The following is an 18,483-nucleotide window of genomic DNA, read 5'->3' on the forward strand; positions in this document are numbered from 1 at the left end:
TTACTTGATGATGATATATGATGCTATACTATGATTTTATTATTTCCACAATATTCTCAAATGACAATCTATTATGGGTCATCTTTTTGATGGTAATGTATGGTGTTACTCTATGTATGTGTCATCACTTGTGTGTCATCAACTTAAGTACTATGTATATGCTATTCTATATTTGCCTCTTTTTCTTGATATCCATAAAGTATGCTATTTTATGGGTCAGTTTCCTAATGACCATGTTTGATGCTGGAAGATGTCTGCATTATCTCTTTGAACACCAAGTGGGATTAATACTATAACTATGTCTTTTCTGCAATGACCCTGTGTGATGCTAAACTATTTCTGTGACACCTCCTTGACAATAACCTCTGATAATCATCTCCTTGAGAATGATGTGTGATGCTGTAACATACCCTGTCTGTAGTAAATCCTATGGTACTAGACTCTGTTTTGGTCTTCTTAATAACACTGAATATATGTACTATGTTTCATCTCACTACTCCCATTTATTGTGCTAAAATATAATTGTCTCTGTCAGCCATATGTGATGCTATCTTATGTGTCATATCCTTAATAGCCATATATAATGCTACACTGTATCTACTTCCTCTTCTTGATAACCACATCAATGTTATACTATTGTCTATATCATGTCCTTGAAAATTCCTTATGATATTATGCCGTAGTTCATCTCATTTAGGACAATTTATAATGCTACAATGTTTGTGCCATCACCTTGAAAGTTACATATGATTATACATTATTTCTGCATATTTTCATGATAGCTATTTTATCAGTCACATATTTCTAATAAACATCTGTGGCATTTAAATCTTTGTGATTTCCCTGATAACCATGTATGATGCAACATTATGTCTTCATTGTCTTATTGAGACCCTGTATGACTATTACCCTGAAAATAATGTACTGCTACACTATATCTAATATGTAATCATCTCCTTGACAACCACTTATGGTTATATGCTATGTCTGCATTGTTTTTAACAGCAGTACATTAATTTATACTATGTTTACATCAATTTAAAAATACTTATGCATGATATTATGAGTAATCTCACTGATGACAGTATTTGATGCTGCAAGATATCTGTGTTATCACCTTGACAACTATATATGGTGCCACACTATATGTGCAAAATCTGCTTGAGAAGTACATATGATGCTGTTATGACTGCGTTGTCTCTTTGGTAACTATGTATGATGTTTAAACCAAGGTCATTCTCTTTGATAGTCACGTATTATGAATGTCAATGTGCATGTCATCTACTTGAAAACCAAGTATGATGCTATACTATTTCTCTGTCATCTTCTTGATAACCTTGTAGAGTGCTTTACTATTTTGCATCATCTTCTAGAAAATTACATATGATAACCATGGATATATGTCATATCCGTGATGGCCATGTATACTATATTATTTGGGTATCATCTTCTGTAGTCCACATATGACCTGTGAAGTCTCCATTATTTTCTTGATGATCATATGTGATGCTACACTATGTCTTTTTCATCTACCTGAACTTGACAGTGATCACACATCAGGCTATACTATGTCTGCGTTATCTCCTTTAAATCCTCATATGATGTACAGCATGTCTATGTTAACATTCTGACTCCTGTGTAGATACTACTATACATCTGGATCATCTTATTGATGATCATGTATGATGCTACACTGTGTATGTGTCAGCTCCATAATTCTGACCTATGTCTGTATAATCTCCTTGTCAGCAATGTATGACACTACACTGTATCTGCATCATCTCCTTGATAACCACATTTGACCCTACACTATGTTTATGTTATCTCTCTGACAACATGTGACACTAAGCTATGTCTGTGTCGTCTCCCTCATGACCATGCATGACAGTATCTATCTATCTATCTATCTATCTATCTATCTGTCTGTCTGTCTGTCTGTCTGTCTGTCTGTCTGTCTATCTATGTATCTATCCATCTATCGATCGATCTATCTACTTTTTCTTCTTTATTGGAATTATTCTGAAGGCTGATTTTTTTGTTTCTTTTTTTTTTTTTAGATGGAGTCTTGCTCTTTCGCCCAGGTGGGACTGCAGTGGCACTATCTCAGCTCACTGCAAGCTCCACCTCCTGGGTTCATGCCATTCTCCTGCCTCAGCCTCCCGAGTAGCTGGGGCTACAGGTGCTCACCACCGCACCCGGCTAATTTGTTGTATTTTTAGTAGAGACGGGGTTTCACCGTGTTAGCCAGGATGGTCTCGATCTCCTGACCTCGTGATCCTCCCGCCTCGGCCTCCCAAAGTGCTGGGATTACAGGCATGAGCCACTGCGCCCAGCCGATTTTTTTGTTTCTTTAGTTGTATCCCTATCTGTAAAAAAATTACAGTGTTGCAGGCCATATTATTTCTGAGTTTTCTGAAGTTTAGACATATAGTTTTATAAAACTTAGAGTGTAGATCTGTGCAGGACATTCTCTTTCATGTTATTGACTCTGAAACCAAATTGGTCACTTCCCTTTAAGGCTTTTGAAATGTCCAACCGAATTTCAAGTTATATATTTTTTAATCACATTAATTCTAAAATGGCAGGTTTTGTCATTTTTTGTACCTCCTCATGAAGTTGACATTGTCAGAAAGGCAAGTAAAAAATTTATTATGATATTTTACTTTTCTCTGGATGCAAATCAAGTACCTACAATTTTGTATCCTTGCTATATTTTACTACTATGTAATGCTATAATCAGAGATTTAAAAAAGCAGTCTTCATCTGGCAAGGCAAATTGTAAGTTTTCTTCTAACAAAAATTTTACTACTCATGTTTTTCACTTTCAATACTTATTTATTTAACTTATTCATCCTTTACTGATGAGGAAATGTCCATAGTACTTATTCCATCCATTTCTCCATCCATCCATCCATCCGTCCATCCATCCATCCATCCATCCATCCATCATCCATCCATCCATCCATCCATCCATCCATCCATCCATCCATCCATCCATACTACAGCTATTTATTGAATGGCTAATATATGCTTGGCGCTTTTGGCGCTGGAGGCAGAGCAGGAAAAAAGCATTCTATTAGCTTTTTCTGTAGAAAAGGGTTTTTGAAGCCTGTTTTTTGCCTGTTGAGTAGCGGCTGATGCTCCTTCTTGGGATGTTCCTTGTGTACCTTGCAGAAACTCAGACTCACACCTAGTGTATCATGCTGGTCTTGCTGCTTATTTCATCACCTGCCTCTTGAAACTTGCTCTAATTCCTCTTTTTCTCTTAAAGTTTTTTCTTTCTGGATTCCTGCTTCTTGGTCTCTTTTCTACCTTGGAATACATTATTTCTTCTAATAAGCTCAGGGCTAAAGAGGAGCTCCCTCTCACCCTCTCCTGCAATGGGACCAGCAGGCATTTAGAGTATTAAGTATCTGGCTCTCAACACAGGCAAGAAGATGAACTTAGCACAGAGCTCGTGTGTCAGGGGGATATATATTTATACAATGCAAAGTCTTTTATCCAAAGTTCTGTATTTAAGATGAATTTATATATATCCCCACCCCTCTCAAAAAGGAACAGCAAGAATTTTCAGTGCTGCCACAAGAAAATGCATTGCCAAACTGGAAGGTCATGAAGGTGAAATTTCAAAGGTGAGTCGCTTTCTCATTTGGAGGAGTTTATTTACTTTCAAAAAATAAAGAGCAGGGCCCAGGTGCAGTGCCTCACACCTATAATCCCAGCACTTTGAGAGGAAAAGGTGAGAAGATTGCTTGAGGCCAGGAGTTCAAGACCAGCCTGGGCAACATAGGGATACCTCATCTCTACAAAAAACAAAAAAAGTCAGCTGTGCATGGTGTTACCCACCTGTAGTCCCATCTACTGTGGAGGCTGAGGAAGGAGGATTGCTTGAGCCCAGGAGGTCAAGGCTGCAGTGAGATGTGATTGCACCACTGCATTCCAGCCTGGGTGACAGAGCAAGACCCTATCTAGAAAAAAAAAAAAGAAAAAAAAAAAAAAAGCATGCTCAGTATAAATAGGTCTATTGGAATTGAAGTACTAAGATTAAGATTTGTTCTATTGTCTCATGTTTTTTTCTAGAAATCACTTACCTAAAGACTTTATTTTTAACTGTGCCCTCAAACTTAGCATAATAAATTATTTCTAAAACCTCTTAAAAAGTATGGAACAGCATTCGCCTCCACTGTCAGCAAAAGATTTAGTTAGCTGAAGATATTTAATATGGCAATTTAAGGAGCGTGTAAACTGCTTTTCCTGGTTCCGGTAAACACATAAGTTTATGTTGTGCGAAAAATATGCTGGGCAGCAAGTATCAAGTGTTCTGTAAGTTAGATGCAATTGAGGAAGTAGTTCCTGGAAATATGTAAAATTATAATTAAAATTAAATTATAAAATTATCCATTTTGAAACTACAAAGCTGTGTTTTAGGATTTTGTATAAACTTCCCCCAAAGGATCATTCACGGAGCAGGCCCACCCAGTCAGTGATCTGAAGTTTAGATGTGTCATCAGAACTTCGTAGAGTAGGCTAGGATTGGTGGCTCTCACCTCCCAGCTCAGCACAATCCCTTGGTTCCCTGTCTGAGATCAGATTTGTTCCTGCTTTGCAAAATATCAGCTTGATGATTTTAGGTTTCTAAAGGCCCCTTCTAGACCCTGGAACTCCGCCCCAGGCTGTACTCTCGGCCTTTCTGCTTCTGCACCTACAGCTGGTGATCATTGCCCTCTGGCTGGTCAGTGGTGGTCTCCAGGGCATGCAGACTATGGCCTCTTCATAAGCTGGGAGGCTTATGGATGGCAGGAGGGGATGGAAAAGTGGGGTGTGGGAGGCAGGATGAGGAGGAAGCCTGGCCCATGTTTCTGAGTGTCTGGCTAGGTAGCTATTGAGACATCTGTGTGTCTCCTCCATAAGTAAACATCTATTTTCATGAATGAGTGAATACAAAGAATTCTCTAGTGCTATTTTATTACATTTTATGCTTTTTAAATGAACATATTACTTATTGAATTGGCATCTGGTAAGGGCATTTCTATGGGGTGCAAAGCTAAAGTATTCACTCATTCAACAAACACTTTTAGAGAGTGTCCACTGTGCTGGGCATTGCACAGCCACTGGTAACAGAGTGATAAAAACAGATACGGCCCTGCCCTCCTCAAACCTTCAGTCATTGAGGAGATGGCCCGAATCTCTGTCTTCTGGTGATTAGAGGGGGATGTAAGTGTGACACCCAAAGGGATGCAGGACTAACAGGTTCCTTTGATGGTCACTCAGATGCCAGTTGGCAACACCTGGCACACGGGAGGCACAGAAGCGTATTTATGGAAAATGCTATACTTGGGGTGGCAGTAGATGAGAACATCCTTTCTTGTAGGTTCTACATTCACTTATTCTATGGCACAGATTAGAGAAGGATCTGTGTGCTTTTTAAAAAATTTTTATTTATTTATTTTTATTTTTTATTATTTTTTTTGAGATGGAGTCTTGCTCTGTTACCCAGGCTGGAGAGCAGTGGCATGATCTCAGCTCACTGCAACCTCCACCTCCCAGGTTTAAGCGATTCTCCTGCCTCAGCCTCCCCAGTAGCTGGAATTACAGGTGTGTGCCACCATCCATGCCAAGCTAAATTTGTATTTTTAGTAGCGACGGGGTTTCGCCATGTTGGCCAGGCGGTCTTGAACTCCTGACCTCAGGTGATCCACCTGCCTTGGCCTCCCAAAGTGCTGGGATTACGGTCCTGAGCCACCGCCCCTGGCCCGGATCTGTGTGCTTTTGACCACAAAGATGACACCAGGGTTTGGCTACGAAGGATCCTGACTCGTGTGTTCATCCACACCAGGGCCCTGCATCTTTGCACAGAGAAGGGCATCGTGCATCTTTGGAAAGAAGCTGGGTGGGGAATACTCAAATTATAAGGATGCTTTGGTCTTTATTCTTAGAAATGTGAGGAGTAGGCAATTACATTTTCTCTCTGGATTTTAGTTTCCATGTACTAGTCCCTGCAATATTTTTTTCCATTATGAAGAAATTGTTCTATGCAAGAATAAATACCAGACTAGGAAGGTGACATGTGCTGTAATGTCCTTTTTTTTTTTTTTTTTTTTTTTTTTTTGCTGATAAGAAATGTTTTGGGAACCATTACACAAAGCTGTGATCATTTTTCTTTCTCTTTTGCAGATTTCTTTCAACCCTCAAGGGAACCATCTTCTAACTGGCAGCTCTGACAAAACGGCTAGAATCTGGGATGCTCAGACTGGCCAGTGCCTCCAGGTTCTTGAGGGGCACACTGATGAAATCTTTTCATGTGCTTTCAACTATAAAGGCAACATAGTCATTACAGGTATGGAAGACATCAACACCATAGACTCATTTTTTCTTGATTGGCTGTTAGAGTTCCCAAGCTGAATACTAACAGGAGTTCATCCCCATTCCCTACCTCTTTTCTGGAGTCACTAGCTCATCTTGGCCTGCCCTCATATTTTCATTATTTAATTTTAGTTTTATGAGGACCCACAGGAGTGAGCGCTGCCATTGACTGTAGTAAGCCTTTGTGAACTTTGAATTTTATTTGCTCTAGATAAGGTAACAATTTGATAGCCTGCCTTACAGGTTACTAAATTTCCCCAGGTGTTTTCTATCAATTGAATGGTTAATATTTAGTCAGCCAGGCGCATTGGCTCATGCCAACAATCTCAGTGCTTTGAGAGGCTGAGGCAGAAAAAATGCTTGAGGCCAGCCTGGGCAACATAGTGAGACCCCGTCTCTACAAAAAAAATAGAGCATTAGCTGGGCATGGTGGCGTACACCTGTAGTCCCAGCTACTCAGGAGGCTGAGGCTGGAGGAGCACTTGAGCCAAGGAGTTGGAGGCTTCAGTGAGCTATGATCAGGCCACTGCACTCCAGTCTGGGTGACAGAGTAAGACCCTGTCTCAAGAAAAAAGTTGAGTTTATGTCAGTAAGTGTTAGTAACCAAAACAAGTCAGGATCAAAATTCTCCCCAGTTGGCTTTACAGCCCATTAGAGATTTATTCTTTGAGCAGAGTTGTTTTCTCCCCTGCTAAAGCACTAATGTCTGGGGGGAAAGAACATGTATTAACCATTTTTCAACCGTTAACAGTTTATGGTGAATTAATAATATTAGCAACATTTCATAAGAAAAGGGTAGTTTAGATCGTGGAAAGGGGAGAAAAATGACAAGATGATGGTATCATGTTAGTGGAGTGCCTCGAGGGGAGGCCTTGGCAGGGAATGGGTGCCACAATAGTGTGGAGTAGGGCACCCTAAGTGAGCACAGAAGACCAGATCTGCCTAAGTACCAGTGATTCTCATCATGTTGAGCAAATTTAAAAATTACTAGTCTAATAAGTTAAATGCCACAGGCCCAAGGCTGGCTTTACATATTGGCCAATTAGGTGGTTTCCTTGTCAGATAACTTCAGGGGTGCTGAGAATTATCTCCCCTTACCACCTAAAATGCCTCCCCAGTCTACTTAATGATGGACAGTTTCCGAAATCACAGGGCTTACGATCTTCAAAATCTTTGGGCTTATGATTTTCAAGTGTTAACTAAGATGTAGGTACTTTGAAAGCACTGGGAAAACAAGCCATAGATTTTTGTTGTGAACACAATATCAAATCCTTCTCCTTGATGAGAAAAGAGGTGAGGGGCTATGATGGAGGGCACAGGGCGCTCCTGCAGGGAGTGAGAAAGAAGGAAGACCAGCCTTTCCTAGTCCACATGGCCTCATATGAGGCTGGCTCTGCAGTACTTCTTCCCTCAACCAGTTTTCACAGAAGACCCTGGAGAGTTTAGCAAAAGAATTTTTGTTATTGTGCCTTGCGTTGGTGCCAGCACATACATTCCTGAGCTCTTTGAAGATACCACTGATTAATTTAGTGTATCCCAAAGCACCAAAGTGCTTAACATTGGCTCACTAGACAACAGAGCTTATTAGATTGGGGTGACACTTTTCTCTTGCCATCGATGGAGCAGTCACTTTATTTGAAAGAATCTACTCTATTTTCCGAGTGGACCCTGGTGTGATAAACTGCAGGCATTTTGTAGTGGCCTACCTGAGGCTGGATTTAGAATCACAAAGTAAATGGCAGAAAAATAGCTGGCATGACCGTTACATTTGTTAAAACATGAAGTGTCATTTTGTGGGATATGGTTTTTATAGGCTTTCCTAATTCCTAAGGCACTCACACTTCTTATATTGATGTTATGTGCCTGGTCCCTGAAGGTGAGAAAACCAGTAGTGCCCACTGATGATGAGAAAAACCCCCTAAAATTTTGAAATGTTCCAAAGTGGTATGTCCTGCCTCTTCCTAAGCTTATCATCCAAACCTGGAGATATTCAAAGTTGCTGTATTTCCACTGGGTGGTGATGTTTGAGGGGACGGCAGAGGGGATGGCTGAGGTGGCTGCATTCTCAAGTTCTCTCCCATTCTGAGAAGCCATGAATCTTGCTAGTGTAAGTAAGCAGGATGCGTACCTGCTTAATTTACAACTAGCTGGTATCGTGAAAAAAAAAAAAATCACTACTTTAAAAATGCCTGAGCTGCTCAGAGACTCTGCAGCTAGGCGCGGAGAACCTAGCCCATTTAGCAAGTTGTTAATTACCAATGGCCCAGAAAATGTCAACTTGTAGAAAGAGAGAATGAGGTGAATGAAATGAAGAAAAAAATAACTGCATGAAATCTGTTTTATTAGGCAGCAAGGATAATACCTGTAGGATATGGCGTTGACTGAAGGAAGCTGGTCAGTGAGCAACCTTGCTAGCAATGGTAATCAAGAACTGGAACTTCACAGACAGCAGCTCTCTTAATATTTCTTATACTTTCTCTTTTTCTGCAAGTCAACTATTTCTACAACTGTCCTTCATTTCACAGATATGACCATTAAACATGACAAAGTTATGCCACTCCAATATTATTATTTGATGGCGATGGCAGGACACAGCATAATGTTTGGCTAATGCCACCAGTTATTTCAGTTGTGTTTGTTTTTTAAAAGCATTATGATACTGAAAAAGGAGACCAGAACAACTTAACAACGTGTCTCCTGGATTTTACTTTGAAGCCTATTGTTATAATTTCTGTTGAATAAAGTGTTTGGAGGAAATTCCTTGTACATGTGTATTTATGATGTATGTTTTTAGGGTGAAGTAAGGGAAATAATGCGGATCTCATTTAATGGCAAATATCTTCTGTATTGATACATTGAGAAAAATGTTGGCAGGTTTATTTCTAAGGAAAAGTTAAACAGAATATTCAGACTATTGCATTTAAAAATCTGGGTGGGGCCGGGCGCCGTGGCTCACACCTGTAATCCCAGTGCCTTGGGAGGCAGAGGCAGGTGGATCACTTGAGGTCAGGAGTTTGAGACCAGCCTGGCCAACAGGGTGAAGCCCCATCTCTACCAAAAATACAGAAAAAAAAAATCAGGCGGGCGTGGTGGTGGGGGCCTGTAGTCCCAGCTACTCGGGAGGCTGGGGCAGGAGAATCGCATGAACCCAGGAGGTGGAGGTTGCAGTGAGCCGAGATCACGCCACTACACTCCAGGCTGGGTGACAGAGGGAGACTCCATCTCACACATACACTAAATAAATAAATAAATAAATAAAATCTGGGTGGAAAACGATTGAAGTATGAGAGAAAATGATCAAATACCAACCTGAATACTGCTGAAATATTTTAAAATGTTTTTTAAAAGCTTGGTTTGTGTAAAAGTACCCAAATGCATATTAAAATTAATGTTAAAAGTACAAGCACTAATAAGGCCTGAATCTGAAGCAAGAGAATGCCTGAAAATCTTATGAAATCATTTTTTAAAAAGAGCTTCATTGATATGTAATCAATATATAAAATATTGCATATATTTAATGTATACATCTTCATGAGTTTGAACATAGATGATGCCATCATCAAAATCAAGGTACTAAATATACTCATCATCTTCAACCATTTCCTTGTGTTGTTTTGTGGTTTTTGTTGTTTCCTGGTACAAGCTCTTTAAATGAGCTCTATCCTTTGAGCATATTTCAAGGTGTATAATACTTCATTGTCAACTATAGGTACTGTGGTGTACAGCAGATCCCCAGAATGTGTTCTAGAACTCATTTTCTTAATAATGTGAATAATACCAATATGGCTAAGTGCTTACCATGTGCCAGTAATGCCCAACCACTTTACGTAGAACATCTCATTTAATCTTCCTAACAACTGTTACAAAGTAGATACAAGCCCTGATTTAAAAATGAGGAAAGTGAGTCCCTGAGAAGTTAAGTAATTTGCCAAGGGCATCTGGATATTAGGTGGTGATGTTGGTTTTAGAAACCAGGGATGCTGGCTCCATTACACTGTGTTCTTAAGTAGAAAAGATTTAATATGGGAGAGGAGAGTCAGATGTATAGGTAGGATGAATTGAAGTGAGAATTACTTCTTGGGTTATCTATAGATGTTAACCCTCAAGAAGAAAAAAATAAAACAAACACAGGCCGGGTGTGCTGGCTCACACCTGTAATCCCAGCACTTTGCAAGGCCGAAGTCAGAAGATTCCTTGAGCCCAGGAGTTCAAGACCAGCCTGGGAAGCATAGTGAGACCCCATCTCTACAAAAAATTTAAAAATTAGCCAGGTTTGATTGTGCAGGCCTGTAGTTCCAGCTACTTGGGAGGCTGAGGTAGGAGGATTGCTTGAGCCTGGGAGGTTGAGGCTACAGTGAGTTGTGATTACACCACTGCACTCTGGCTTGGGCAACAGAGTGACACCCTGCCTCAAAAAAAATTAATAAAGGAAAAAAAATTAAGTAAACAAACACACAAAAAAATAAACCAAACCTTTGTTGGGACTGTTGGGAAGAGGAGGTTCCAATATGATGAAGCCAAGAACTTAGATTGGAGAAAACTTTGCCAAAATTTGGCTGCTTCTTTTTTTTCTAAAAGCAAACCTCTTAAGCTTTATTAGTTTTTTCAGCTTTATTGAGGTATAACTGACACATAAAAATTGTATTATTCAAGGTATACAATGTGATATTTTGATATCACAAAATGAAATAATTACCACAGTCAAACTGCTAATTAACAAATCCATCACCTCACACAGTTACCTTTTCCCCCCTGTGGAGAGAATACTTAAGATCTATTCTAGCAAATTTCAAATATGCTTTATTTTTAACTGTAGTCATCAAGCTGTACATTAGATCTCTGAAACTAATTCATCTTGAAACTGCAAGTTTGTACCCTTTGACAAACCTCTCCCCATTTTCCCCACTCCTTGACCCCCGGTAACCACTCTTCTAGTCCGTTTCTACTGAGTTTTACTTTTAAAAATTCCATATGTGAGATAATATGGTATTTGTCTTTCTTTGTTGGGCTTATTTCACTTTGTCCTCTAGGTCATCCATGTTTTTGCAAATGAAAGAATTTTCTTCTTTGTCCAGGCTAAATGATATTACATATATCTTTATACAGGCATACCTCGTTTAATTGCAATTCACTTTATTGCACTTCTCAGATATTACATGTTTTAAACAAATTTAAGGTTTGTGATAACCCTGCCTGGGGCAAGTCTGTCAGTGCCATTTTTTCCGATAGCCTGTGCTCACTTTGTGTCCCTGTGTCACTTTTTGGTAACTCTCACAATGTTTCAAACTGTTGTATCTGTTATGGTGATCTATGATCAGTATTCTTTGATGTTACTATTATAATTGCTTTGGGGCACCATGAATCATGCCCATATAAAACAGCAAACTTAATAAATGTTATGTGTGTTCTGACTCCCCCACCAACCAGCCGTTTCCCATCTCTTTCCCTTTCCTTGGGCCTCTCTGTTTCCTGAGATGCAACAATATTGAAATTAGGCCAATTAATAACCTTACAATGGCATCTAAGTGTTCACGTGAAAAGAAGAGTCACATGTTTCTCACTTTAAATCAAAAGCTATAAATGATGAAACTTAATGAGGAAGTCATAGTGAAAGCCGAAATAGGCTGAAAGCTAGGCCTCTTATGCCAAATAGCCAACTTGTGAATGAAAGGGAAAAGTTCTTGAAGGAAATTAAAAGTACTGCTCCAATGAACACATGAATGATAACAAAGCAAAACAACAGCCTTATTGCTGATATGGAGAAAGTTTTAGTGGTCTGGACAAAAGAGCAAACAAACCACAATATTTCCTTTAGCCAAAGCCTAATCTAGAGCAAGGTACTAACGATCTTGAATTTTATGAGTGTTGAGAGAGGTGAGGAAGGTACAGAAGCAACGTTTCAAGCTAGCAGAGGTTGGTACATTAAGTTTAAGGAAAGAAACTGCTTCCATACTTAAAAGTGCAAGGTGAGCAGCAAATGCTGCAGAAAGTTATCCAGAAGGTCTAGCTAAAATCATTAAGGAAGGTGGCTACATTAAATAAAAGAGTTTCAATGTAAATGAATATCCTTTCATTAGAACAAAATGCATTTAGGACTTTCATAGCTAGAGAGGTCAGTGCCTCACTTCAAAGCTTCAAAGGATAGCTGACTCTATTGCTAGGGGATAAGATAGTTGGCGACTTTAGTTGAGGCCAATGCTCATTTACCATTCCTGAAATCCTAGGTCCCTTAAGAATTAGGTGAAATCAACTCTGTCTGTGCTCTGTAAATGGAATAACAAAGCCTGGATGACAGCACTTCTGTTTATAGCATAGTTCACTGAATATTTTAAGTCTACTGTTGAGACCTACTGCTCAGCAATAAAAAAGATTTTTTTTTCAAAAGTATTACTTCTCATTGGAAATTCACCTGGTCATCCAAGAGCCCTGATGGAGATGAGCAAGGGGATTAGTTTTGTTTTCATGCTTGCTAACACAACATTCATTCTGTAGCCTATAGATCAAGGAGTAATTTTGACCCTCAAGTCTAGTTATTTAAGAAGTACATTTTGTAAGGCTATACCTGCCATAAATTGTGATTCCTCTGATGGATCTTGGCAGGGTAGATTGAAAACTTTCTAAAAGGGTTTTACCATTCTAGTTGCCATTAAGAACATTCATCATTCATCTTGAATGATGAATCATTTTGGGGAGGTCAAAACATCAACATTAACAAGGGTTTGGAATAAGTTGATTTCAATATTCATGGATGACTGAGGGGTTCAAGATATGTGGTTCAAAATAGCAAAAGAACTAGAACTAGTATTAGAAGGTGTGACTGAAATGCTACAATGCCACAATAAAACTTGAATGGACGAGGAGTTGCTTCTTATGGATATACAGAGTGGTTTCTTGAGATGGAATCTACTCCTGGTGAAGATGCTGTGAACATTGTTGAAATGGCAACAAAGGATTTAGAATATTATATAAACTAGAAGGATTTGTTTATATAAAGCAGCAGAAGGGTTTGAGAGAATTGACTTCAATTTTAAAAGAAGTTTACTGTGGGTAAGATGCTATCAAACAGCATCACATGCAACAGAGAAATCTTTCATGAAGGGAAGAGTCAATTGATGCAGCAACCTTTATTGCAGTCTTATTTTAAGAAACTGCCACAGGCATCTGAACTGAACCTGCAATATCTCCAAGGTCTGCCTGCAACTATGTTATACATCTGCACACCTGTGTTCATTGCAGCATTATTCACAATTGTCAGGATATGGAAACAACCTCCTGAGTGTTCATTGATGAACATATGAATAAATAAAATGTGATATATATGATAAAGATATATACGTATATGTGTATTAGATTTTCTTACATTACATTGTCAGATAAAGAGACATATATACATATATATTACATTTCTTTATTGATATAGACATATATGTATCACTATATCCATATGGATATATAGATATCACATATTCTTTATCCATCATCCATCCATGCACGCTTAGGTGGTTTCCATGTCTTGGTTATTGTGAATAATGCTGCGGTGAACATGGGAGTTCACACACCTCTTTGAGATACTGATTTTATTCCCCTTGGATATATATATATCTAGAGGTGGGATTGCTGGATCATATGGTAGTTCTATTTTCAATTCTTTGAGGTTCTTTCATACTATTTTCCATAATGGCTGTACCATAACTCCTTATCTTACATGTAGTTTGCAAATATTTTCTCCCATTCTATGGTTGCCTTTTCTTTCTGTTGATTATTTTCTTATTTGTGGAGAATATTTTTAGTTTGATGTAATCTTATTTGCTTTTTTTTTTTGCTTTTACTGCCCGTGCTTTTGCTGTCATGACCAAAAAAAAAAAAAAAAAAAAAAAAAAAATCTTTGCCACAACCAACTCTGTGGAGCTCTCCCCCTGTGTTTCCTTCTGGGATTTGTTTTTACAGTTTCAGGTCTTATATTTAAATCTCTAATCCATTTTGAGTTGATTCTTGAGTATGATGTAAGATAAGGATCCAATTTCATTTGTTCTATGTGGATATCCAGTTTTTTCAGCATCATTTATTAAAGAGTCTATCCTTTTCCCATTGTGGTTACTTCTTTTAAAACTCCAAAAAAAAAAAAAAAAATAGAAGCAGATGCTGACTCTTGCCTGTCTAACTCTTTGATTGCTTTAGGGAAGGGTGATATGCTTTTGTAACATCATTCAAAAGAGTCAGCCAATGTATGGCAGTGGAGATCCAACATCCCATAGACCAATTTAGGTGGAGGAAGGCCTTGGCCAGAAAATGGCTTATTTCTCTAGTTTTTATATGTTGAAGAAGTCTTTCTTAATATTTATTATGGTTTTCAGATATTCCAACCTACTTAAAATAGGTGTTTGAATACTTAGAATCATAAGAAAAGTGATAATATGCCCACTTTATTTTTGTTTGCAGGAAAAGGCATTGAAGAGTTGTAGTGTGCTATGTGTGGGGTCTGGAAGTCAGATTGCCTGCATGTGGATTCTGATTCCAACTCTTAATCATTAGGCAAGTTACCTGACCACTCCTCTGTGTCTCAATTTCCTTACTTAAAAAGTGATCATAATAGTTCTCTTCTTTAGGATTAGGAATACCTGGCACGGGCTGGGTGTGGTGGCTCACACCTGTAATCCCAGCATTTTGGGAGGCTGAGGCAGGAGGATCACTTGAACCCAGGAGTTTAAGACCAACCTGGGCAACAAAGTGAGACCCTGTCTCAAAAAAAAAATGGAATATCTGGCACATAATAAACATAGTAATCAACATTTACTATTATTATTATTTGAGACAGGGCCTTACTCTCTTGCCCAGGCTGGAGTGCAGGGGTGTGATCTGTAACATCTGCCTCCAGGGCTTAAGCAATCCTCCCACCTCAGCCTCCCAAGTAGCTGGGACTATAGACACATGCCATCACGCCCAGCTAATTTTTTGTTATTTTTTGTAGAGATGAGGGCTGGCCATGTTGCCCAGGATGGTCTTGAACTCCTGGGCTCAAGCAATCTGCCCGCCTCAGCCTCCCAAATTGCTGGGATTACAGGTGTGAGCCCCTGTACTGGTCAACATTTACTATTATTTTTATGAATAAAAACTTAGTCATCTTATTTAAACACATTTCTCCAGAAAAAATTCGGTATTATTTCCTCAGAAATCATACTTGAGATATAACTGACTTTAATGTGTTATAGGTATTGTAAGGAGAATTATCTAGATCAATTTTTTATCAATTAAAAATAAAAGTTAAAGTTCTTAGAGTATTATCCTTTTAAAGGTTCTGTATTGAACAGAGGAACTGAGAAGTAAAGAAATCATCAATATAGACTATTATGATCTAATCCATCTTCTTCATATGTTTAGTTTTCTTATGTGAGTCTATGAAAGAGGATTATTCTTATAAAAAGAAATAGTTTCTAACAGCTCATATATAAAAATATATTAGCTCATGATTTAGCATAATTCCCATTTTAAAATTAAAATAAATGCACTTTTGAACTAAACAATGCTTTTTATACACGTATGTCTCACGTTGCCATGTAAAAACACATCAATCATCTTAAATTATAAGTAAATTTATCTTCTGTGTTTTCGCTGCTACTGTTACTCTAAAACAATTTATCTTTTTAAGTTTCCAAAGGAGCAAAATTTGAAGTTAAAAAAAAAACCTGTTATCTTACCAAGATTACTTTATATTTTGCTGAATTCAAATTCGCTGCTGTCTTGGTTAGAAATGCTTTTGTTGCAAGCAACAGAATACTTGCCATGATTAAATACCACGATTAATATCATGATTAAAACAATGTCAGTCCCAAAGGTGGCTATGCAATGGCATGAGGACTCAAGGACCCAGAGTTTGGTGACTTTCCACTTTTCCATCCTTAGCATGTTGGCTTCTGTCCTCCTGAGTAACCTTCCTGCTTGCAAGATTGAGGACAGAGCTTTATTAGCTTAAGCATCTTGCCATCTATTTTAATCTCATCAAGGCTAAAAGAGAACTGCTTACTCTCCTCCCTATTCCTTCCATTTTCTGTATCATCTCAGCAACGCTATTTCTGCTAACAATAGAATTATCATTCCCTTTTTCCTTTATTTTCTCTATCTATCCCCCAAATCATAAAGATTTCCCTCAATTAAAAAATCCTAGTTATCCAGTCTTATTCCATTTTAATCTAGAATCTAGAATCTCATTATCACCCTGGCACTAGAAACTGAAACAATCCTCTAGCTAATTGCCCGAGCTTCCTCCTGCCCTATCAGGTTACTTCTTTCTAATATAATCAGAAAAAATTCCAAATATCTGTATATTTTACAATTTACGAGACTTTTGGATAACTAGTTCATTTAATAATAGGAACAAAGTAGGAATTCTTAGAGCCTTAATTTAAGCTGACAACACATGTTTAGGAGGTGGTATAACTTTGAGTCTTTTATCCCTTTTTACTACCCGCCCCCACCTTCTTCTCCTTGCCTTTCCTCTGGAACACCCTGGTCTATATAAGAAATTCGTAGGATGAATATCGATTCAGCATATGAAGGGGAAGTGATACAGTTGTGAATGCTGCACATCAGAGCAAAACCACCAGTTTCTCTCTGGTCCGAAATTTTCTGTCGTGCTTTGCAGTTTCGGGTTGTGTTACTTAGAAGCTTAAAAATGAGTATATGGGTACTTGTGGCCATGCAAACAATGGGAATTCCAGAAAGGCTCTATGAGAGCTGTAAATACCATGAAGGTGAAGATTGCTCTTTGTCATACCTTTTGGGAAATGTTGGATGGACTGCTTTGAAAAAAGTTGCCTTTGCTATTATTTTCTTGGGACTATGGGATCTTAAGTAATCACCACAACAGGCCAGATGTTCATGTATTTCACTTAACAACGAAGTGAATACTTTTTACTGCTCTCACTAATGAAAACTAGAAAATGTCACAGTTTTAAAAGTGCATAACTTTGCACATTTTTGTTAGTTCTCTTACTCAGCAGGTGGCAGTGTTCATCTTTCAGCAGGTAAGTAAGCGCTTGCTTCTTTTCTTGCAGCTACACATTAAGAATAAAGAGTAACCTTTGTATTGTGTCCCTTACAGATCAGGTTTATGAGTGGATACATAACAATGCTCAGATTGTGGTACAGTTAAACTTAGGACCACACTGGCAGATTGGGGCAAATGACATGTCTTCTTAGTCCTGATGCACTGTAGAGACATCTTCTATTCTATTCGTGAGGACATAGACCAATAAGGTGAGTAAGTGATAGTTCCATTTTTTTCCATAGGCCCCTCTGTTGAAAGCCATATTATGATCATTTATTTTACAGGACTGCTGTTCAAATTAAAACATGAGAACACCCTGGGAAATACTTTTACCCTTAATATTTTTTTAAGGTATTTGATGAATTCGCTCTAATTTTTCTTATAAAAATACTTTATCATCTCAAGTACTGGGAGGAAGATTTCAAGATTTGTCAGTTGCTCTTAATTAATGATATTTACATCTTCCTTCTCATGAACAATGATTTCCATTGCTGTGCAGAATGGAGGAGGCTTCTTAACCTACTTAGAGGTTTAGAGATTTGCAAAGGGGAAAAGTTACTATAAAGCTGGATTGATTCAGAGTCATGGCTACCACGTGTGGTCAGGGAATTCAACACTCAATTATGTCTTTTAATGTTAATATCTGATCAGAGTATGACATGGATTATTTTTGTTTTAATAAAGTTTATTGTGTTTTCAGTAGATTCAGTGTGTAATAATTGTAAGTACTTTGAATTTGATTACTTTTACATGATTATAAACCTAAAGGGTCAAACTGATTTCTGTTTGGTTGTCACAGACAAAAGTAAGTCTGAGACCAGACAGGGAAACCATCTGCTGTCACTTGCATTTCAACAGGCGATCAGAGGTTCAGAGGAGAATCTGTTTTATTGAGTAAAAAGAGGAAATGTGAGGCAGCCTCTCATTAACAAGCATTCTATGAAGACAGGAGCTTTGGAAGTGGGGTGATTTTCTAATTGGTCTTCAGGTACATTTGGCAGTTTCTTTAAGGATTGCTCAATGCTATGGGTGGAAGGTTTTCTCTGGTGGCCATTTTCTGGAATAAGTGGAGGTCA

General features: G+C 38.3%; 1 protein-coding gene across 4 annotated transcripts in view; it reads left to right on the plus strand.

The window, feature by feature from the left end:
• The window catches only part of DAW1 (dynein assembly factor with WD repeats 1), a 52,714-nt gene extending 43,594 nt beyond the window's left edge, over positions 1-9,120 (plus strand). For all 4 annotated transcript variants that reach the window (NR_138459.2, XM_047443536.1, NM_001330004.2 and 1 more), the window contains 3 exons: positions 3,556-3,632; positions 6,175-6,337; positions 8,710-9,120. Coding sequence is in view for 3 of the 4 variants with exons in the window: in XM_047443536.1 (XP_047299492.1) it covers positions 3,556-3,632; positions 6,175-6,337; positions 8,710-8,744 (275 nt within the window). In the remaining variant the exon portion in view is untranslated. The remainder of the gene's footprint in view (positions 1-3,555; positions 3,633-6,174; positions 6,338-8,709) is intronic.
• The last annotated feature ends 9,363 nt before the right edge of the window (positions 9,121-18,483 follow it).

This window comes from Homo sapiens, chromosome 2 (assembly GCF_000001405.40).
Source record: "Homo sapiens chromosome 2, GRCh38.p14 Primary Assembly".
Lineage (NCBI taxonomy): Eukaryota > Metazoa > Chordata > Mammalia > Primates > Hominidae > Homo > Homo sapiens.